The 24,042-nt window shown below is 34.4% G+C and overlaps 1 protein-coding gene and 1 long non-coding RNA gene across 16 annotated transcripts in view; one reads left to right on the top strand and one right to left on the bottom strand.

Moving 5' to 3' along the window:
• SYT1 (synaptotagmin 1) overlaps positions 1-24,042 on the bottom strand; it is a 588,027-nt gene that overhangs the window by 449,899 nt on the left and 114,086 nt on the right. For 2 of the 14 annotated variants that reach the window (NM_001415940.1, NM_001415943.1), the window contains exon 3: positions 6,263-6,351. The exons of the other annotated variants lie outside the window; for them this stretch is intronic. The gene's annotated coding sequence lies outside the window, so the exon portion shown is untranslated. The remainder of the gene's footprint in view (positions 1-6,262; positions 6,352-24,042) is intronic. 14 annotated transcript variants of the gene reach the window in all.
• The window catches only part of LOC105369863 (uncharacterized), a 197,856-nt gene that overhangs the window by 100,770 nt on the left and 73,044 nt on the right, over positions 1-24,042 (top strand). The gene's annotated exons all lie outside the window — the stretch shown is intronic.

The raw sequence follows: 24,042 nt of genomic DNA, 5'->3' as shown, positions 1-24,042 counted from the left end.
TTTATAAAAGGGACCTATAAACATTTCTATGCAACTGTAGCAGTGTTTTTTCCTTAAATATTTTAGTTATTTTATCATGCAGATGATTAAAGTAGAGAATGCTCTTAAAATAGGATTATAAAACCCTGAAATCACCAAAAGCAAAACTTCTCAGTTAATTCAACCACTGAAATTAATCCATGTACTCTTTTTAGCTTCTTTTAAATTCCAGGCAAGTGCCAAAAAAAAACACTAGTTTATCTGAGTGAAGAAAGTTGAAGAAATCAATATCCAGAAGATAAACTTCACATCAGGAAAAACAGATGATAAGTCTGTACCTTTCAGCAAGAGAGTATTTTAAAATCTGCATCACTTTGACAAAAATATTATCACCAGAAAAACACACTTTACAATATGCTGTTCTCTCATGCATCACTGACACTAAGAACAGAAAATAAATTGGTAGTATGGAGTGCCTTTCAGTTCCAATTTTTCTAAAAGCACTTCACAAAGCAATTAGTCAGATAATGGTGGTGTGCTGACTCCTTGAGCCTTTATATAGTCACTAATAGCACCTGATCTTACCAACCATTAGAATGGATCGTAGAGAGAGCAGTGTAACATCTTTAGTCTTCTAAACCCTAGTCATAGATTCTCCTTAAATGCGTTGTTTGAACTGTGTTCTTTATACAAGAGTTAAAATTTGCCCTAAAGGAAGAGAAAACTACTAAGTATTGATATTTGAATCCAATTAATAATAGGAACTAAAGTTAATGTTCTCTAAATTATCTCTGAATGATGAAACTTCAGAATGTTCTACTGTACTACTGACAGTGGCTTCATTAGAAGGATAGGGGCTTTTTTTTTTTTAAAAGAAATGAACTTCATAATGTGTAAAGAATTTGCAAAATATCATCATTTTAGTCCATTAAATGTAGCATGTAAAATAGGTAAACTGGTTAAATAATGGCAATTTTTAGCTACTGAAAGTTTAAACTAGAAATCTCCTGGAGCCCCTTATCCTTGCTGTAATTTTTACACTAGAATAGTATATGAATTAAGGTATGGACAAATAAGGGATTCCATGGGCAATCACATTAGAAACGTAAACTTTCAGAATTCTTGGAAAGGCACTGTTCAATTATCCAATGTATTTGAAACTTTCTGTTGACAGTGTGGCTAAGATTGCTTTTGTTTAGTTTTTCTAAGTAGCGATATTTGGGGGAATTTAAATTGGCATTTCTTGGAGAAACTGAATATACAGGTATTTGATCAACAGATATTGATGTTAAAAGGTAAACCACTTGGTCTAGCCACAATATTTAATTCATTAAATCGTGATGAAAAAAAAGTTTCTTCCCCAAACAAAATACTGATTGGAACCCTTTGGCCCCAGAATAATGTGTATGAATGACTAAGGCACCATTAGGAAATCCAACCTCAGTCTTGGCAGCTTCAACTATACAGACAAATTATAATTTCCCTTTAAGGATAAAGAGCTTTATGTATTCAAATTAAGAAGAAGTTAAGGTGGCCATGCACAGTGGCTCACACCTGTAATCCCAGCACTTTGGAAGGCTGAGGTGGGTGGATCACCTGAGGTCAGGAGTTTGAGACAAGCCTGACCAACACAGTGAAACCCCGTCTCTACTAAAAGTACAAAATTATCTGGGTGTGGTGGCACATGCCTGTAACTGAAATCTCAGCTACTTGGGAGGCTGAGGCAGGAGAATCGCTTGAACCCAGGCGGCGGAGGTTGCATTGAGCTGAGATTGTGCCATTGCACTCCACGCTGGGCAACTAGAGCGAAACTCTGTCACAAAAAAAAAAAAAAAAAAAAAAGAAGCAGTTAAGGCAATTCTAAAAAGTCATTTTTAAATACCACTTATGTTAAACAGCAAGGGAGGTATTTTGTTTCCAAGAAGTTTACAATTTTTAATCCTTCCACTGCTTAGCTGAAAAAAAAATTGCACTCTGCTTTCCATTTTGTTTGCAGCTGAATCACAGCTTAGTAATGGTGAATTAATTTTGAATTACTTTAGAGATGTTGTCTGTCCTATATTCTAACACGCCCCAATCCAATTTAATATAATCTGATCTAATATTGGTAATGTTTGCATTTATTTCACACTTCAAACATTTTGTATATTTCCATGAACTTCACTGATACATTTCCAATAGTTAGCATTTCTTAGTATGAAATAATATCCAGTTGTATAATCGGCACCCTGGCACCTATTAAGTGCAAGTGCTTATTTAAAATGTGTAGTGATTAGAACGTTTTCTCTCAAATCACATCATATTGAAGTTAATGAATTCTTTGTAGGGATATTAGCAAGCTTCTACACCTTGTGATGGTCCCCTCTCCCATTCTCACTAATATTGAATATATTAACTACTGACAGTGACTGATTCCTGAATTACCTCAATTCAGTGGGCCAAAGTGCTACACTGAACCCTGCATTACATGTACCTATCCTCTCTAAAACACACAAATTCAAATATTGAGAGTGTGATTATTTTAATTCCAGTTGCTATTAATCACATGTATTCTGATAGATATACATTCCATCCAAAGTAGACTATTTCTTCCAGGCTGGAGGGATTAGAAAAGAAAAGGAAAGGTGATATAAATCAAAATTGAACTTGTCATTAGAAGGGCTGTCAGAAACCGTTTACATCATGGTTATCCTGGTTTTGGTCAGCACTATTAGTCTCCCACTTTTAGACAAAAAATAGAAAAATACGTCAAAGATCCAGACTCTTTAAAAATAACCCTCAGAAAGTGAAACTATAGATATACATAAGAATCTTCTTGACAAATAACACCATCATGTTGCCTCTAAATTGTTTGCTGCCTTTCTAGAGAGAATGTTGCAAATGAAGTTTCAAAAACACTTAGGACCACAGCCAAGAGCATGCTACTGCTCCTTGAATGATGCTAATGTAGATGAAAAACACGAGATATGAATTTCCAAAAATTACTTGCTGAGTCAGAGCTTCCTATTTGAATTTTATAATTTATTTATTGGTTAGTTGATAGGGCAGAGCACTAAAATAAGCCATGTTCTGTGACATGGTCCAAAGTATTGATGTTCTAGAACATCAATATTACTATCTACAAACGAGACCTTTTTATCACCACGCTTTATTTCACCCATCCCTTGATCAGTAATCAGTGTGATAGAATGAAAATTTCTGTCAATACGGAAACTCAAGATATTGACCAAATTTCCACTGGACTTTGCATATAGCTGTACAGCAACTTGTTGTACTTAATATTTCTGAGTACTCATTGTGTGAAAGAAGATGTGCTAAGTGCTTTATGTCCAAAAGCTGATTCATTTTTAAGAATGATCCCATGAGGAAGCTCATATTATTACTCCAAGTTTGCAGAGAAAGTAACCAGATTTAGAGAGAGTAAACAAATCGGAGATCACAAAGCTAGAGAATACAGTCATGATTTGAATCAATTTAATCTAACTTGAGAGTCCCCACTCTTAAACACTACTAATTCTACACTTCTTCCCAAGATTTCTCAAACATCATATCGTTGTTTAGATACTGCTTTATGATTTAATATCCTTTCAGCAAATCTTACTCAGTCCAGCGCCTCCATGTGCAGGCCCTATGCTAGGTGCTGGGTGTTATGTCATGGCACAGTAGACATGACTTCTGTTCTCAGAGTGCTCATAATCCAGATCCCTGAACAAAGCAAGCAGCATTGCTCCTTGGCAAAGAGACTTCACACATAGGTTGCACTGAGTTCACATATTTAGGGTTATCTTCCAATGAGTATGAATGAAATTTGTTTCATGTCAAATCCTGACTGTTGTGCTCTTGCCCTAACTGTTCCTTCAGCTAAATTAAAGGTTGGTATCTGTAAAATATCTCCATGCTTGGTCATAATTTCAATATTTTTCTTTTTCATAGGCAAATGAAATAAAATTACTTCTAATCAAGGACAGCACTAGGCAAACTATGAAGAAAGCAAGAGTCATTTTGGGGGTTCTCAGATCCTGCTCTTTCTTTCTTTCCTTTTCAGATTATTGTAATTCTTTTGTTTCATTTGTTCTCAGATCTACCAAAACCTGATCTGGGGCAAAGATCTGATAGGAGCCAATTTGTCACTTGTTTTGAATTTAAATGAATCCAGTCTTTCCTTTTTAAATGTGGACTGAGGGTCAGAGCTTTTGTAAAGTCATTTCAGGCACCAGGATCACTAAGAGAAAGATGGGGTGACTGTGGAGTCAGTCTCACTTCTCCAGAATTATTCCTTGAAGCAGTGGTTCTCTTTCCATGAGGCTGCTGGGTGAGGGGATACCTCGTTTAACAGCAGTGTTCTCTGCTAGACACTGTCTTTCCTTCCCCATGTGTCTCTTCTTCCTCACGGCCTTTCCTACCCGTCATCTCATCCAAACTCCACTGTTTTCTTCCTCATTTCTCAAAAAAAGAAAAAAAAAAAAGGAAAGAGAAAGAAGGAAAGAAAGGGGAAAGATACATAATTTGGGTAATAGATGGCTTCTGGGAGGGCAGAAGATACCCTCAGTGCATGCTCCTCCTCAAGTATCACTTATAAACTCAAGAGAAAAGAAACTCAAGGTTGCTTACAGACTAGTTTAACCCTATTTTTAAAAGCAAAGTATTACCACCTACTCTCAAGGCATAATTATTTAATATCTAGCTGTCAAGAATATAAGGCAATTTAGCCAAAATAGAAAAGCCCAAGGCATTGGGAATAACATGATACATAAGTTTCCCTATATTTTGGTGACCTTTCTTTATTTTAAGGACTCTGTGAAAATAGCCATAACAGAATCTTATGGAGTTATCTATCTAGGTCCTTCTAAGTGAGAACTGCTGACACTGTCTATAGCAATGATTCCCACGGGCCATGTTTTTGTTCTAAGAACAGCTTTCCTGGTTATTGCTAATTCACTAGTTCATATAGGATGAGCCTCTTATCCAAATAGAAAAATCAAATAACTTTCCTGCCAGTTTGGAATTGGAACTGAGAGATATAGAGGCATATGCTGTTGGGCCTCTAAGAGACTTCCAGAAACCTGGAGACCATACTCCTGCTGCTGACCTCCCTGTATTTGCTTTTGATCCCTCTCTCTTTGAGATGCTAAAGCCTAATGCTTCCTTGGGTTCTGTAGATAGCCCAGTGTCTTTTTTGATAAAAATCACTGAGATTAGCTCACATGGTTTCTATGACTTACCATTCAAAGATTCTTCATACAGTGACCAGGCCTATATTTATTCTGTGAATAATCCAAACTCTGTTTCTGAGTTTCCTTTAAAGCACTGCATTTCCCAGGCTGCTTTTGTTAGTTTACTTGTGTTCTTTATATCTGTGATTTATTTGACCCGTTTTCTGTATTTTGGTAAACTAGAGTTGAGCAGGAAAAGCAGATATATGGATTTGTAGGGTGTGGCATGGAACTCCACGGCATCCTCAAATCGTACTGTTCTTGGGCTCATTCTGCATATGCTGTTTGATGTGATGTTTAGAAACCTAATTATTGATAGGTAACAGTGTCAATGTGGCCTTTCTGAACTTTAAGAACCTTAAAGAATACCCTTGACTATTAGCGTCTAAAATAACAATCAAGGGAAGTTTAAAGCTCTTCCCCACGGCTTTAACAAAGTTCTGACAAAACAGAACAGACACCTAGCAGAGTTCCCATCTCATTCTTTTCTCTAACTTTGTCTCAATATACTGGTCAATGGGCAAAAGTGTCTTTGCAAGATTCCCCTATAAAATCCTGAAACCAACCCTTCCTTAAGGGAGAAGTCGGTGCTTAGTAACATTTTTCTAAGGCAAAATCATGGCAATAGATGTGATCAAGGGATTCTCTTGAGAGCAGCTGGATATTATATTCATTGAAAATTACTATTAATACCTCTTTTTATGGTTTACTTAATGCACTGAGGTAGCGAAGCATAAAGTTCAGCAAAAGCTGACAGAGATCTTTCAACCAAGTAAATTGTATGAAGGTAGTAAAAAAGAGGTCAAATTATACCTATAATTACACCTCCAGACCTTATTGTAACAATCCTGGATGGAGATAGACCTGGGTTATTAGTGACATTATGGACAACAATAAGTTTGGTTCAGAAACTTCAGGCAAGTTTTTGATCCTACAGTGAGTAATGTTACGTAGAAAAAGAAAACTATCTTTGTTTCTAAGCAAAAGGATGTCATTTTCCGTGTAAATTAAGACTGAATGCAAATAACACCACAGTTCATTCAAACAGCAATGAATTGAGGATTGCTTACATGTTTGGAGCCACTTCTTATTTTTTCTTTTAATCCATCTGGTAAACCTCAGCAACAACTGCAGGAATTGGGCACGGAGTGAAAGGAGGCTGGGTTAAAAAAAATCCTCCATTAGATTTTCCCAGCATAATCTACCTTGGGGAACCAACAGATGTAGATATTTAATAGAAATTAATCTCTTTCTGTTATTCAGTCTTACAATGCATCATTCTAATACTGATTACACTGATGTTCTAAGATATGCTGGCGAAATGCTACTGTAATACAATTTCTTTGCTGCTAGAAATGAAAGCTCTTGAGACTGCTGTTGCTTATATAGCTGCTTCAGGTGATTACATCTTTACAAAGATGTTAATTACTCTCTGGAGAAAGCTGCCCAAATTGTTAGGTGAGTAGCATAATCTGGCAGTGGATACCAAAAAGTGACTTCAAGACCATTATGGTTATTGTTTCTCACCCCTATTGAGATCTGAGCTCTACTCTGATGAATTTTGGGCAGATAGAAAAAACTTAATAAATGGTAGCCAATGAATCACCACAATGGGTTTCTAAAAGTGGATATAGACACTTGCTTTTAGCCTATTCCAAAGTTTGGGCCTGGTTTCAATGAGGTCAAAGACACAAGGCTATGCCTGGGGATTCTTGTTAAAACTTCAATTAGTGGTTCTCAGGCTTCACTGTGCATTTAGCTCCCCCTGGGAGATTTAAAAAAATCCTAATGCCCAGCCTTTGGTTCAGGCCTATTTAATCAGAATCTTGGGAGTGAAACCCAGGTGTCAGTATTTTTAAAACTCCCCAGGTGATCCAGGGTGAAGTGAAGGTGGAGAATCGCTGGCTTCCATGAATTTCCCTACTGTTACTCAGCATATAGACTGGGGAGCGTCAGTGCAGCAATCACAGGTGGGATGACCAATTTTGGAGAAACAAAGTGAGAGCTCTGAAAAAAAACAAAAAACAGAAACTCTGCAGCATTGGGTATATTGATGGTGGGAAACATTCGTTTCAAAAATATTGGCCGGGCACAGTGGCTCACGCCTGTAATCCCAGCACTTTGGGAGGCCGAGGCGGGTGGATCACGAGGTCAGGAGTTCAAGACCAGCCTGGCCAAGAAGGTGAAACCCCGTATCTACTAAAAATACAAAAAATTAGCTGGGCACAGTGGCAGGTGTCTGTAATCCCAGCTCCTCAGGAGGCTGAGGCAGGAGAATCGCTTGAACTCAGAGGGTGGAGGTTGCAGTGAGCTGAGGTCACGCCACTGCACTCCAGCCTGACGACAGAGTGAGACTCCATCTCAAAAAAAAAAAAAAAAAAAATCCTCAGAACAAAGGATGCTCACCAAGCGAAAAGAAAAAAAAAAAAAAGGAGAAGAAAAAGAAAACAAAGAAAAAGAAAAATTATGATGACACTTCTCAAGTAAATGTGAAAGAGCTAGGCAGAACAATAGGCAGACTATTCAGTGAATGTCTTACAAAGGGACAAACTACATAGACATCCACTTGTGATTCTCTCCTCAAAACTGAAGGAACAATAATATATGAGAACAACTAATGTTTTATTTATCGTGGTTGGTGCAATTGAAATGATAAAGGCTCACTTAAGTGCTTTGTTAATGTTTCAAGACACAGAAAGACTAGGCTAATTCTTACATTAAAAATTGGGGAACAATATCTGGGAAAGACTAAACTACACTGACAGGTTGATTCAGGGTGAATCTACTCAGGAGGAAATAAATACAGGGAATTCGATAAAAAGCAGTACGAAGTTGAGGAAATGCTTAAGAAAAACCACACATGTGAAGGAGTTGTAAAGTTTTGGGTCACTTTGTAGGCAATGGAAACACAACTTTTTTGTTCTGCCAACAACATACTATCATCAGAAAAAATGTTTCATAATTATTAAGTTGTGTCAGCTTTATTCTTTCTTTACCACATGCCTGGCACTCTGAACATAGCAGAAACTTAGGACAATATTTGTTAAGTATGAGAATGAGGAAGAGCATCAGACTGCTTCTAATACCAGCTGAACTCAAAGAATTTGGATACTTAAAAGCAATTGCATATTGGGTTTAGAATATTACATTACTTTTTGAAAAGTAATATTAGATTGGGCTATATGAAATCATCATTTTTATAGGCCAAAAAACCAAAGTATCAGCAATTTCATATGGTTCATGTAAATACTTTTAAAAATTTTGTTTGCCTTTTAAAATTTTAATGTGGCTTAAAATAAATAAATGCAGAGTGTGTTTTATTTGAAAGGTTTTCTTTCCAGAAGAAAGATTCTATGGATGTGCAGTTGCTTCTAGAAAAACAGAAATGGAGTCCCAGTAGAATAGCAGAATTTCTGAATGGGCATCCATGCCAGTAAGCAACATGTAAAACAACATCACAGGACCTAATGTCATAGGCTTTATATCTTCAAGGATAGCTGCCTTGATGCATCAACTTGATTTTATCAAGAACATGAACAATGATTATTCTGAAAGGAAAACACCAAACTCATGGAAAATAAAAATGCAAGAATTTGAACATTACTGCCTTTTCTTGCAAGATATACTTTGCCCAAATGATTATGCAGCTCAGTCAATATTTGAGAACACCTGGTTGTTCTGATAAGGAATATATTTTCCCCATCATTATGTGTCCTTTCACAGATTGGGGTTCAGGATAATTTAGGCCTGACAGTTTCATATTCTGTTTTATAAAACAGATAAACATAATACAGGCTTTAAGTAATTAGATATAAAGCCATCAGAAGGGATGAGTTGCAGGTAGATGCACAGGGATTTTATTAGCATACAGTTGCCATCTTGTTGCTGACAAAAAAATGCCAAAGAGCAAGTGTAAAAGTTTGTAGAGGAAACATATAGAGAATTTTCTCTGCAGTCATCATAGTACCATGAATTCTGAGGAAAGATACCTAAACACAGCTCTTACATATACTAAATAAGGATACACTATTCTATTTGCTTTTTTCCCACAAGTGCCCAACTGAATGGGCATGTGTGAGTTTTTACTTATTACACCCACATGATGACTGCAGCTCAGATACCTTACTTACTGCAACATGACAGCAAGAAGACTGCCCAAAGCAATCACAGACCCTGAAGATCATCACTGCACTGCTTCTTTCTAGTGGTGCTGAATGCCAGTCTGTGCTCTCTATCTTTGAGTGGTATTTTTTAGGGGGTTTTCATGTTGTACTAGATGGTCCAATTCTGTAGGCTGACATCTTTTAAACATTTTTGGAAAACTTTTACACACGGTAAGAAATACATTTTACAGCACAATTTCATATACACAGTACAAATATACAAAGTTTCACAAAGCAATACTAATCCTTGCTGCATTTGATGTAACTTACATCCTTTATTTTTTTCTATTCTATTTTATTCAAATGCCAATCACAAGCCACTAATTCGATTCCATGGCCATCCACTGTTTATGAAGCACTATTTAAAGTTGTATCTTAATATAGCCTCATGCTACTGACAAAGAACAAGTCAAAATAGTTTGGGAAAAACCATAACTACCTTCATATCTTATCTTAGAGATAATGTTTTGAGGACTCTTTTTAATTATTGTGTATAAAGGACAATACGTTGGAGAGCTTAGTCACTTTGCCTAGGGTCACACAGAGGTGTCTGAGCATAACTGTTTCTAAAACTCTTGGATATTCCAATCCTCCACAATGAATTTTAGGTAATTGTTACCTGCTATGCAGGGCATAGGTAAAGAAGGCACTGTTCCTTTTCTTTCCCTGTAAGTGAACCTTTCTGACCATTAGGCTGACTTTGAGTTGGGGAAAGGGCAGTGGTATGAAAAGGAAAATGACCTTGATGAGGAGCCTGGACCTTAACTTGCTAGGGCCCCTGATCTACATTCTGAGGCTGCAGAATAAAGTTTCCAGGAAATAATAGCTCTTCATGTAATGATACTCATTACAAAATGATCAGTCTTTTTTCAAACAGTAATTCACACAAAGCCAAATAAACTTGGCATAAAGATACTTATCCACAAAAAGAGTACATTTCTGTAAAATCTATAAATGTACAACTATCAATTTTATAAACAGCACCTAAAACTATAAGATTAGAAGAACTTGTTAGCCTAAGAAAGAGTTCAAAGAAAGGGCAAGGCTGAATGTTTGAGTTTTTCTAATCATATTTGAAAATCAAAATTATTTCTCTAGAGTTTTCATGGATAAAAAGTCTAATTTCTAATTTTAAATAGTGCCACATCTTTAATTCTATTCTTCTTTTACAGAAAATGATTCCAAATCATGAATTCTTCTCTTCTCTTAATTACAAATCAATGTTTACTTTTATGTATAAAATCCAAAGAAAACAAAATGAGTTTTCTAGAGGTCTACAATTTTAAAATCTCTGTATTAATTAACTGTGAGGTTTTTTCATTCGCTATAGGCCAAAGAGACATGATATGATGTTTTATTACAAATTTTCTAAGAAAAAACTTCAACAAGCTTAATATAAAATATAAAGATTTGAGTTAGAAATAAGGAAGAGTTTCTATAATAGGTTATATGAATTTCTTCTTTAGAAGATCTTTACATATTATAAATTTGCCTAGAGTCAGGCAAGAACTACATAACTTCTCAGGGGTTCTTTTAATGTTATATATTCCCTCAAATATTCATTTAATTTTGATGATTACTTAGGATATATATCCAAGTGGAGTAAATGGAATAAAAATTAATATAAAGAGTAAAAGTATCTCATGATTTTCATGTCATTTGTATTCATAAATTGTTAGATAAGAATACAAATGCTGTTGTTTTGAAGTAAAAACAGTAATATATTAAGCAAGGTCATATTCTTGAAACTGCTGTGCCTTATAAGTAAAACAAAGATTCTCATAAGGCCACATTCACTTGTTTTATTTCAATACTTTATTCCTTCATGTACTTGTCAAAGTAGCACCATCCCTTGCCTTTCGTATTTCTCTTTGACACAAGTGAGCTTGAGCTGCAGCGTGCATACCATATTTTCCCCAAATTAACTTCATACAGAAGTTGGATGGTTGCTTGAATAACCGGCACATGTGGCTGTTACTCTGCATTTTCCTTCTTTATTACATTTTCAGAATCAAAAGGAGATAAGCTCTTACACCAGCTATTGTTATCCATATCAAGGAGACACAAACATAAGATATGTGAACAAAATGAAATTTGAAATGTCAATAGGAGACACAGTGTTGTAGGAAAGTACCAGATAATTAAATTTAAGAAAGAACCTAAATTTTGGACTTCTCACAATACCGTGTGATATGGCAGACACAGATAAGAATTTGTACTTAAAAACACATGTAGATATCAACTCGCATTGTCTTTTCTATAATAGAACAAATAGAACAAAGTAAATGTCTGGAAAGACAGTGTAAACCAGATAGTCATGGTTTAAATGTCAATAGATTGCTTGGGTTATAGTTTTTAAAGTCAGAAAAAGTTACAATAATAGGAGAGTTATGGCAAAAATATTTAATATATTACTAATTTACCTAGATCACCATCAGAAATTATGAACTTTTTGAGGATAGAGGCCTGCTTTTTATTTGCTCCAGGCACAGCACCTGGTTGGTATATCGGAGAGTCTCAGAAACAAATGAACAATTAATACCCATTAAGCCCTCTCACAGAGGCTGCTGGTGAATGGCAGCATTCACAGGCATCTAAGACATTCAGGTGCACTAGCTCATGTTCAAATACCACCCACAATCCCTCAATTGTGGTACAAAAACCCAGAAACTTATTTTCCAAAATCCAGTTTCTTCTACTTTCCTGTGAATGTTCTAAGCTCTTCTATTATTTCTGCTTGTTCTATTTATGATTCAACAGGTCTGTCTATCCCCTTATCAGGCTGATATAATCTGTTTCTTCCAGTAGCCACATAGAGTTTTATACAGAGAGGATGAAGATATCTTGAGTGCACAGTGGGTGTATTTTTGGGGACATCATCTGGTCCTGATTTTAAATAAAATCTGTAAGAGAATGTCTCCTGTAGCAGACATGGAAGGTTACCTTCCCAACATGTCCTAGTTTTTTCTTTGATGATGGAACCTGAGTCACAAGTAATAACTCATACTTGTCCTCTCAATTTTAGACAATACACTTCCCTTTTGCAAAGGATGGTATAGGGATGGGCATTTGCTGTAGCTCTGGAGGAAGACATTAGGGAAATCCATTGGTAGTTTTCTGGAAGATATTTTCTCTCTTCTCCCCAATCAGATAAGAGAGCTAACTTTAAAAAGAATCCCTTTCTCCTGCATGTTCTCCTTACAGTGACTCTGCCTTCTCTGTTGCCATGGGAGGATATGATGCTTGAGATGCTGCACAAAGTCTGGGAACGGGGGGGCTAGGCCCTGAGACTCCCAGAGAGGCTGACCCAGGGTTTTCATATCAATAATCTACTGAATAAACCTTGGTACTCTCTAGAGTTGGATTTAATAAACAGATATAATAAAGTGACATAACAAATATTAATAATATTTAAGTAAATTTTAGTAAGGTATTCTTTAATTTGCTATTGAGAGTATCTTACTTCATACAAATCCTAATTTGATATCTTCATTCCAGTCTTTTTCCCTGAGGTCCAGCCTCCTATATTTTAACTGCCTAACTGGCTTCTCTTAGAAGTCCAAAGATGACCTCAAACCTAACATATAAAAACAAAATTTGTTTTCTCCTCCCCTACCCGTTTCTGTTGGAGTCTTCCCCATCAGAATAAATGGCTTCACCAAAGTGTTCAAGGAAATCTCTAGGGTAATTATTTTGATGATTCCTTCTCTCTTATTTTCCATATTCAATTCATCAACAAGTCATATAGGTTCTACTTTAAAAACATATCTCAAGTCTATTAATTTCTCAGTAGTGTACAGCCATAAGCCTAATCAAAATTACCAACTCTGGTAGCTGCCTCACCTGGAATACTGCAATAACTTCTATTGTTCTATCTGCCTGCACTCTTGATATCTAAATATTGTCTTCTATACAGAAACTGGAATAAATTTTGTATAATAGTCAATCATTTTACAGCATTTTCCTATTGAAAACCCTCCAATGGCTGTTCATTACATTTGGCCAAAAATCACAACTCCATGTCATTTCTCACAAGGCTCTGCATGATTTGATTTCCATCTAAATCTCTGACTTCACATCTCCAAGTATATTTCCTCACTCACTCTACACCAGCCTCTGTTGTTGTGTCTTGTTCTTTATGTCTGCAATGCTCTTCCAGGAAACATTATCAAGATGCTTTTCTTCATTGCCTTTGGGATTTTACACAAAGTCATTTTCTCAATGAGGCCATCTCTGAACAATCTATGTAAATTTCACCGTATGTACATGTTAAGTTCTTGTTTTCTTCTTGGCATATATCTTTAGCATACTTTACATTTTATATATATATATAATATTTATTATATATAATATAAATCTTACTATATATCTTACATTATATTGGAGAAATAGATAATAAACAAGATATCTATGTATCTTGATTTATTGATATAAAGATAACATAGTATATAACATAGATATATTTATGTTGTTTATTGTTTATTTGTTTAATATCTCATTTATTGTCTGTTTCTCCAATATAATGTAAAAACCATGATGGCAAGGATTTGGCCTATTTTGCTCACTATTGTATCCCCCAGCACCAGGTATAATGCCTAACGCATTGTACATTTTGAAAAAAAAAATTTGTTCAGTGAGTGAATTAATAAGTGACTGACTGAATGAGAGAGATGACAGGTTTGATTTCTTGACCACGTAGAATCAACCTCACAGAAGTAAATATTGGTTGAATGAATAAATGGTTTGTAATGGAAAGCAGAACATCCCTCCACAGTTCCATTACCTTTTCACCTGACAGGATGGTTTATGGGCTGGCTTTTGTTGAGGAGTTTTGCCTCTATATTCATGAGAGATACTGGTCTATAGTATTCTTTTCTTGTATTACCTTTGTCTAGTTTTGATATTCATGTAATTCTGTCCTCACAGAATGAGTTAGGATGTATTCCCTCTGCTTCTATCTTCCGGAAGAGATTGTAGGGAACTAGTAATATCTCTTCTTTAAATGTTGAGTAAAATTCACTAGTAAGCCCATCTGAGCTTGGTATAGGCTGGCTTTTTAGGGTTTTTTTATATATCCCTAATGTAAAGTAAATAGCAAATGGTAACTATGTATGCAGAGTACTGTAGGCTCAAGTAAGGTTTCATATTCCAGTAAAGAGAGGTAGCAGGGGAAGGTCATGTGTAGCCTCATGGGTTCTTGAAAGGACCTTATATCCTGTCTGGGATAAGGATGTAACTATAAAATATAACAAGAGCTGAGTAAAAAAATAGTCTTTTTGATTCAGCCTGAAACTTTATGTGTCTTTTTTTCCCCCACATCTTGAAAAGGTCTAACTAATGTTCTGGGCATAGCCTGCGAGGTCTTTTAGCCAACATGTGACCTCATGAGCCCATCAGCCTCAGAGTACTTCTCCTTTATGAGAGATGTATCTTTTTGTCTAGAAAACACACACCATTTTGAATTAAAGTGTACTTGATGAATGCATATTTCCTTTGGAGAGGGCACAGACTCATTAAAAGAAATGTTCCTCATGCTTAGAAAGGGTGCCTCCTCATTTGTACTGATCATAATGATATAATGCCTTCACAGTGGTGTTTGTCAAAGACTGCTTCCTGGTGCATAAACTGGCTCTAAAAGTTGCAAACAAACAGCAGAATATTTTGAACGATGGAAGCATCTGAAATTTAAGGTGACCATAGTGAACGACAATATTCATTCAGATATAAGCCCTTTATTGGATATGAGCCCTTTATTAAAGGAAAGTTTTATTATTTCATGGTGATGCTTCATAAAACTTTAGTATTTTTCAGTTCTGCATCGTAACTATCTTTAATAAGAGATATCAGAAACACTGAGGCAATTTTCCACCTGTTTTCTGAGACTGACAATGCTGATGGCATTTTTGGAAAGAAGAAAGATATGTATCTAATCCTTCATGTATATGGAGAACAACTCATCACAGTCCATAATTCTATTATAGAGAGACATACAAATAGATATATATTCTGTTTCACAAACTAAATTTCAACATACATATCAAATAAATAGATGATTTATATTCCAGAACAAAAATATGTAGTTTCAGGACATGAATGAAAAGCCTTTCTTAATGTGGAAAAATATTTTTCCCCTGTCAGGAGAAATGCGATTTTCATTAAATATAAACAAGAACTGCTAGCATTAGAAACCAAATAATCGTTACTTTGTTTTGGAGATATAATTGTTAATTAATAAATATATTTATTTTTAACTTCTGAAGTGTAAATAAAAGGCAAGGATAATTTTCAGTTAGTAAAATATGTTAGCTAAAACACTGCAAAAATTGTAACCATGAAAGAAATTGATGTCACTGTTTCATCAAAAAAAACTACTGACTAATAAAATAATTTGGGGAAAAACACAATAGATATTTTTAAACTGTCATATGTTCTAAGGCATCAGAGATCTACAAACTAATGGTTTATCAGAGATATACAAAAAGAAAATGGAACAAATGTTACATAGCAATAAAATTATGATGAACACAGAGATTATTTTTATAAGGTCAGCTTTATGCACATAAATCATCTTCGCTATTCACCAGCGACATTTCTTTCAGTAGAAAAACACAAACTTAGATTTTCCGTTTGAATGTACTTCCTAGTTAGAAGAAACTGGTGGGGAAATACTGGCCTGTGTGTTCATAACATAATGGAATCTGATAAAACCAGTTAAGTTTTGAATACTAGGTTACATAAAAAGCAGGCAAAACTGCATATAATTTTTATAGTGGTATATAATTTCTCTTTCCTTCTGTTTTTATTTTTCCCTCCTTCAAAGTGCTTTTCGAAAGAAAATGACAAAGTTGTTGGTAAATAAAAATAGATTAATGAACATTTTCCTAACTACAGTTTATTGGATGAATACCGTTTGAAATTGCTTCTTTTGTTGATTTAAATAGATTAAATAAAGGGAACATTTGGTACCCAAAATAAACTTGAAGCACACTGATCATAAACCAATTTATAAAGTCCTATTCTAGACACTAAATTATGAAACAGAATTTCCTTACATTTATACTCAGAATTAACCAGCACTATATAATAAGTCCCAAAATTTTTAGAATTAACAGTCCTAAAAGAACATAAAGAATTTGTTATCACGTCTTCTACTTGGAATGTGCCCATTAACATGAAGGGGGTTCATGAGCAATGGTGATCAGGGTGACAATTCTGTCCCCAGAGAGGCACTTTCTTGGATGCCATCAGATAGTGGTCATTTCTCCTTCTATGTAACATAAAAACAACCACTAACCCCAAATGATTAGTCTGATTATTCTATGTATTCAGCTGCCATCTTGAAGGGGAGTTATTTTAGAAAGAATATATTCTTCTTTCTTAGATTCTCCCTTGCTTACAGTTAAATAACAAAATCGTATAATAACTTATCACCTAGAAAATTGTGATAGTGTTCATATTTCAGAAATTTAGGTTTATTATACTACGTATAGTTTTAATACTTATGTATAAATATGTGAGAATTGGGAGGTAATACAGTGGAATAGTTCTTCATTGTTAAACAGAACTGTATTATGATTTTTCACAAAAGATAAATAGCTGTCTTTTAAAAAAAATCAAGAATAAATTTCAACATTCTCTTCTCAGAATATTGCATTATGTCATTCGTTGTTCTTTCCTACAATTTCAGTAAGTTTCTTTTTGGTTCTCGGTATACAATGTGTCTTGTAATGGTATATATTTACTTTAAATCCACACTTGATGCATCTTTCTTTTTTCTCTCTTTAGCATCTTGAACTTATTTTCTTACAAGATTATGTCGCAAACTACAAATAACTGCGGTTTTGTTGCTCTTTCCACCTTCCTGTTAATTCTTTTTCTATTGTGGGACCTAAATTTGAGCCCAAGTCTCTAACGAAGTGACCGTACCCAGGATTATTTTTGTTATGTTTCTATTTAAATACCTTAGAATAATGTTTATTTTTAACATAAGCATATTGTCAACTTGTCAGCTATTGTGAACCAAAAACTCCATCTAATTTTCTGTATATTTGATAGCAAATTATAATTCATCTTTATGTGTGTTTCTTCCATGAATATAAACATTTATTTTCCATTCAATTAAATTCTATTCTTCATTGTTTTCTAATTTGTAATTATCTAAACTAATTTGTAATTTTTATTTGTAAATAGACACATTAGGTTTTTGTTGTTGAGTTGTAGGATTTCTTAATATATTCTGGATATTAAATCCTCATCATAATAACTAAAAAATAACAATTTACAAGATCAATGACCAAAAAGCAAGAGAAAAAATCTCATAATGCTATATAAAATGCATGTTTTATTCACTTTTCTGTTGGCATATTATACTTCAGCCAATAGATTAATAAATAAAATACATTGTGGTATTTGTGCCATAAAAAATAAACAAAACTGGCATACTGCAATGGTAAATATACCACTGTGTTGCTAGGGTGCTCTGAATTTTTAATTTCTTGATAAATTGTCCAGGGAATTAAAAACCATCACAGGTATGTAAGGGCTGTAATTGTTTTGAGAAGTTTTAAAATCTAAGATGTAATAAAGGGATTTATACAAATTTCTTAATAATTCTCTTGGCAATTTGTCTTGGTGGTTGGTCTGAATCTAGACGCTATTAAGATTTGCCCTAGATAAAGGCACACTTGATACAATATATATTCTCTGTATTTTGATGAAACTGTGGTTGTAAATATTTAGGTCTGAAAACTATTATTCTTGGATTCACTGAATGAAAAGGACAGTATCATTAATTGATTATTGCTAAGGACCAAACTTTGTACTGGCACATCTTTATGTATCAAATTTTTGAAATGTTAATGCTGTCAGAGAGGTGCCCTTTTAACAGCTAGTTAAGTTCCCTAAGTTATAGAAACTTTACACTGCCTTGATTCTTTACTTTTGCAGTTATCTGAACTCTTACATTGCTATTCTTCTTAGCAGTAACTTCAAACACGAAATTTTTATGTTCCCTTAAGATTATCCTTTTAGTTCTTCTTGAACCATCATCAGATGTAACCTATTGCATTTTCAAGATGTGTATTCAGACATTTATATGTGTACACAAGTAAATGACTATCCTGTTCTAATATCCTGGAATAGTGTGAAAAATTTATAAACAATTTAGGGCTAAACCTTTATACCATCTTTGTGCCAAGTACATATAGTAAATGTAGAATGGTTAAGCTAGGGATCCTAGAGGAGGTTGTTAGGATAATTGGAATAAGTTCTTGACAGATAGTTTATGATCATTGACAACTTAATATAGAAAATGCATTCCAATGTGTAGAAATGGGACACTTAATCACTGGAAAATGTAATTAAGAAAAATCTCATGATAAGAAAAGATGCCTTTGAGGCCTGGGCTGTGAGGTATTTGATTCCATAATGGCCACATTGGAGCCACTCTGGTATTACTTACATCTGGCTATACGGATCAAATTTCTCCGGCAATTCATCTTATCTAATATGTAAATTTATGAATTTATTTGTTCCTTCCACTTAAGATGATGGAAAATCTTAAAAGAGTTAAAATAGTGGATTATATTAATTTGAGGGCAATGTTGAAAACAGTAAGAATCAAGTAGGCTAAAATGAAGAGTAGGATTACTGACTGAAAAAAAAAAACTTGGAAGAAGAAAATTTAGACAAAAATACGATTAAAGTTAGTGAATAAACAAGATTTTGGTGGGTCTTATTATTTATATATTTGTTCCTTGTTAATAGTCTACCTCTCTACTAGAAGGTAGTCTCCATGAGGACAGGGGCCTGTACAAGAAGGTTTGAAGAATAACTGACATTGTAGATGTTTAATAAAAACATTGAAGAAACAAAGGTATGAACTCAGGCTGCATGATGGATAAGATTTGTTGGATCAGGGAAGTGTAGGAGATAAAAATAGATTGATTGGAAACTCAACTGTAGGAAATATTATCAAGCAAGTTTATATGTGAGTATAACTATGATATAGCATCAGTTATAAATTTTGAGGTATCACTTCTATGCTTTGGGGTAACAAAACCGTTTAGAAAATTCACACAAGGCTGCGAGACCATACCATCATCCTCTTCTTAAGCCCAGGTTTTTATAGTAGCTTTCAGAAGCTGCCAAATAGAGATTCAGGTAACTCAACACAGGCATTGACCATTTCTGCCCTAAGACACTTCTTGGAATGTTGCCAAAACTCATCCTTTGCTCTTGTTTCTTGAAAATGGAACGGAAAGGAGGGGTGCTTGATATTGAAAAATTCCTCTAAATAACTTTCTTCAATGAAAGATGAACAATTATTTTTTCCCAATCTTATTCACCTGTCTCTCCAGTAGAATTTCTAGAGTTAAAAGGGATTTTAGAAACTTACATGATGACCTTCTGTACTTCAAACTAACTAGTAATGGAGATTTAGACTTTTATTTCACTGAAAATTACAGTTGATGAAGAATTATGGGCCATTTTTCCAGGATGCCTTTCTAACTTCTTGCTTCTTATACCATAGATTAGCCTAGTAATGAGATATATCAGCTCAAAAAGAGCTATATACTGCAGGTCTTCAATTTGAATGTAGTAGTTTTTCTTCACTTTGAATGTAGAATTTTTATCATGAGCAAATAGTTCTATTTTTTCCATCTCTAAAAATTGTTTTTAAGGTTAAATGGAAGTGATGGGGGCTCTGCTTAGGGCTGCTAAGACCTCCTTAAAATCAGCAGAATAGAGGAACAAGACAGATACCTCCTTTTTTTGCACCTTCTTCTCTGGGTTATCCACACTCCTAGCCCTCCATCCCTAGGCATGGATGCCACCTGTTCCCTTCAACTATCCAAATTTAAGAAACAGAAAATAAATGAGAAATGGTAAAATACAAAATACTAAAATTCAAATACAACAAAATATTCTTTGTGTCCTAATGTCTGGGCTAAAAGTAACAAAATTTGCATAGTGCTGACTACATAGTAGGTATTCAATAACTATTTCATAAATTAAATGAACAACTGTGCACACAAAGGCAGCAAATTGGTAAATTTGGTTCACTTGATGCTGAATTTTCAGAAAGAAACAAAGGGTAGAATTCCTTAGAAAGTGGAACTCAATAAAGAGTAAGGAGTTAATCCACTCAGAGATAAAGCCATTAGTAGAAGGCCAAAGATTCATTAGTTCTCCCTTCACTCCATTAGTTGGCACTCACTGAGTTAGCATGCATGCTCGCCCACTATCTCTCCTTACCATTTCCTCTACACAGCTGCTTTCTAAATGGATATGTAACAACATAGTTACCTATTCATTTTAAAAGAATTAAGGCTGCTCATGGTGGCTCTCACCTGTAATCTCAGAACTTTGGGAGGCCAAGGTGGTGGATCACCTGAGGTCAGGAGTTTTTGACCAGCCTGGCCAACATGGAGAAACCCCATCTCTACTAAAAGTACAAAATTAGCTGGGTGTGGTGGCTCACGCCTGTAATCCCAGCTACTCAGGAGGCTGAGGCAGGAGAATCATTTGAACCTGGGAGTTGGAGGTTGCAGTGAGCCAGGATCATGCCATTGCACTCCAGCCTGCGCAACATGAGCAAAACTCCGTCTCAAAAAAAAAAAAAAAAAAACAAAGAAACAAACAAAACAACAACAAAAAACACAAAAACAAACAAACCATTGAATACACCTGTTCTTCTGGATTATAAGCCTACCATTTATGAGCAAATTTTCTTTTTAATAGCTAGTTCAATGCTGTTGGCCACTCATACTTGAGATCCTTTTGCCTTTCATTCTCTAAATCTACCCAGCATCTCTCCCCTCCATCTCCCTCTCCCCCCTGGCTCAGGAGAATACTGTTCATGCTATAACCCCACTCTCTCTGTGTTTTAGAAAAATATTCTACCCCCTCTTTTAATTTCTCATTTATTTATAAGCAAATTTACTTTCCTTTAGCATTTATATTCAAAGTAAATATATAATGTAATATTTTTTGTCTAATTGGCTTAATTTTGACGATCATATAGTATTGTTTTCAATGATTCTTCCCTTCAATTTCTAGTTTTATAACTTATGTAATTTTACTATAATGTTGTGGATTTCATAAAATTGAATCTGGGCATGAAACAGCATTTATAGCATTCTTTATATTTGAAAATAAGTTTTGAGTCCCAAATATTTAACTTCATAATGAAACTTTTGAAACACAACCCAATTAAAGTAGTCTGTCCATAATCTAAATACAATCTTCAAAACTAGCTGAAAACAAAAGAATTTTTGATACATAAAATGATTCTTATGAACGCAGAAACAATTTAAATTATTCCAGTCTTTTCAGGACATATCTAGTTTACAAAGTAAGTTAACCTACAAACCTAAGATTTCGACCATTTTCCCTTTTTAGACCTTGTCTCCATGGAGTCGGCTATGTAGGAAGCAAAAATTAATTTTATGGGTCAAACATTCTCTGTAGTCTTTCTACTAGAACTAATGTAGATTTTTGCTGTCTTTCAGTGCCTGAGGTAATCACGACATTCCGTCTTTTCATGGTTCAGAAGACAGTTCTTTGTCCCCTAACTCTCATTTGAGTGTATACTTACTTTAGAGTTTGGTATATTAAATTGGCAAACATGTCTTACTTGCCGCACTGAGAAAATATTCTTATTAAGATTAGATAATATGGAAATATTCATTTATGAAAAAATGGAAAAATCTCAGCCCAAAGAATTCAATTTAGTTGTATTAATAAAGTATCTTCTGAAAGTAAGACACTCACGTAATTCATTTAAATGGAAACCTTAACAAAAAGATCGGTTGAAATTCTTTAAAAAGTGTTGTTTATTAGATATATAAAATATTAAAGATAGACTTGTTATTTACAAAGCTTTGTAAAACTAAAGATTCAAATATGAAAATACTAATGAATGATACAAATTATAAATTTAATACCTTTTACCATTATAACTATCATTCATTGTTTGGCAACTTGGAAAAAGCTTTTAAATAACAGACATCCATATCCTTAATTAACACTAAATATTAAAATTTTAATTTAAGATATTTAAAACTCATATTAAAGGTGAAATAAACAACCTAGAATGCTTTTTGCAGCCAAGTAATGAAAACATGTAGAAAAAAATTAAAATTCAAATTTAACTTGATTGTGGTGTTTTTATTTTTCATATCAGTTATACATCTAGTTTTACAATGCTTTTCTGTCAGTTGTTTCCTTGCTCTCATTTTGTAGAGCAGTGGTTATTTCACTTTGGATTACATTATAATCACCTAATATGTATATTTTAAATGCTGGTCCTAGGGCCTACTCCCAAAGATTCTGACTTAAGTCTGGCATGGAACTCAGAACATGTATTTTTGTAGGTTGGCTTTAGACCACATTTTGAGATGTTTCTCAAAATAGTTGTAGGAAAGAAGATGAAAATGTTCCTAAAAGACATTAATGTAGAAGAGAACAAAATGGAAATATTTTAAGATCTGTATGGTAAGAATCATACTGCAAGGACATTAGGCACCTGCCCTTCATTGTAAAATGATTAAAATATCCAATGTAAATTAGTACTGTGGCAATTATTTCCTAGAAAACTGAAGTACTATCAATACTGGGTATATGCATTTCCAGAACCACTTTGTTTAAAAAGAAATCCATGTAAAGAAATAATGATAATTTGAAAAAAGTGTTTCAACAATAACAACTGTGATCCTACACTGTGGTATCTTACTGCAAGAGATAGGAGAAAGTTCTAGTACTGAAATAATTTATTCCTAAAAGGTGAAAAATATTATGATCCAGTATCGCATAAGCGTATAGGTACATTTACTTAATAAATAGGTTAATTTTATAGGAATATATAGTTGGTGTATTTCTATGTATTTTTGTATTGGCGATCCACTGTAGCAAACTTCCTCAGGGAAAAGAAAGTCTAAGATAGAAGTAGTAAAACAGAGTCTTAAAGACAGAGCTTCACACTGTAACACTATTTCTCCTGTATACAGTGGAAGTAATGTGAAAGGCTATTCTTTAGAAATCCAAACTTCTGTAGCATGGGACTCCAAATAAAGATCATGAGATAATCTAATCACCTCACGTTTACTTCATAGAATTGTGTGTATGCCTAATAAAAGTGTGTTAGAAATGACTTAGACCAAAGGAGTAATTTGATTGGTTAATGAAGAATGGTAATTGAATTTGATGGAATTCATTAGTTAAGACAAACAGATACTTTACAACCCAAATTATGTACTCTAACATATGTAATAGTCACAGTGTGATATATGTACTTCACTGTTGAATTAGCCATATATGAAAGAATGAGACACAGCATGGTACAAGGAAACATCAGTCTGAGACAAATTCTGCTCTCCCCTCTAACCCCTCACCCAATACTCGTGCTAAAATATCATCTGTGCAGCAGGCCACAAAAGCACAGAGGCAGATGCCATGGCATATTCTTTTAGAATGCAAGACTGCTCAAGATCATCTACAGATAATGAACCATGACAACTTTGGATTTGATAGAGTACAAAATGACAGTGGGAGAAAGCAAACATGTTATACAAGGAGCCAGTGCCCCACCAACGAAAACAGCATTTCAAAAACATTAATAATAGTAATAATTTCAGAATATGTGACAAACACTAATTTCCCCTTAATATCACAAGAATTTTTAAAGA

This window comes from Homo sapiens, chromosome 12, assembly GCF_000001405.40.
Source record: "Homo sapiens chromosome 12, GRCh38.p14 Primary Assembly".
NCBI classification, from domain to species: Eukaryota; Metazoa; Chordata; class Mammalia; order Primates; family Hominidae; genus Homo; species Homo sapiens.
The sequence above is the reverse complement of the archived record's forward strand: the minus strand, read 5'-3'. Positions and strand labels throughout refer to the sequence as shown.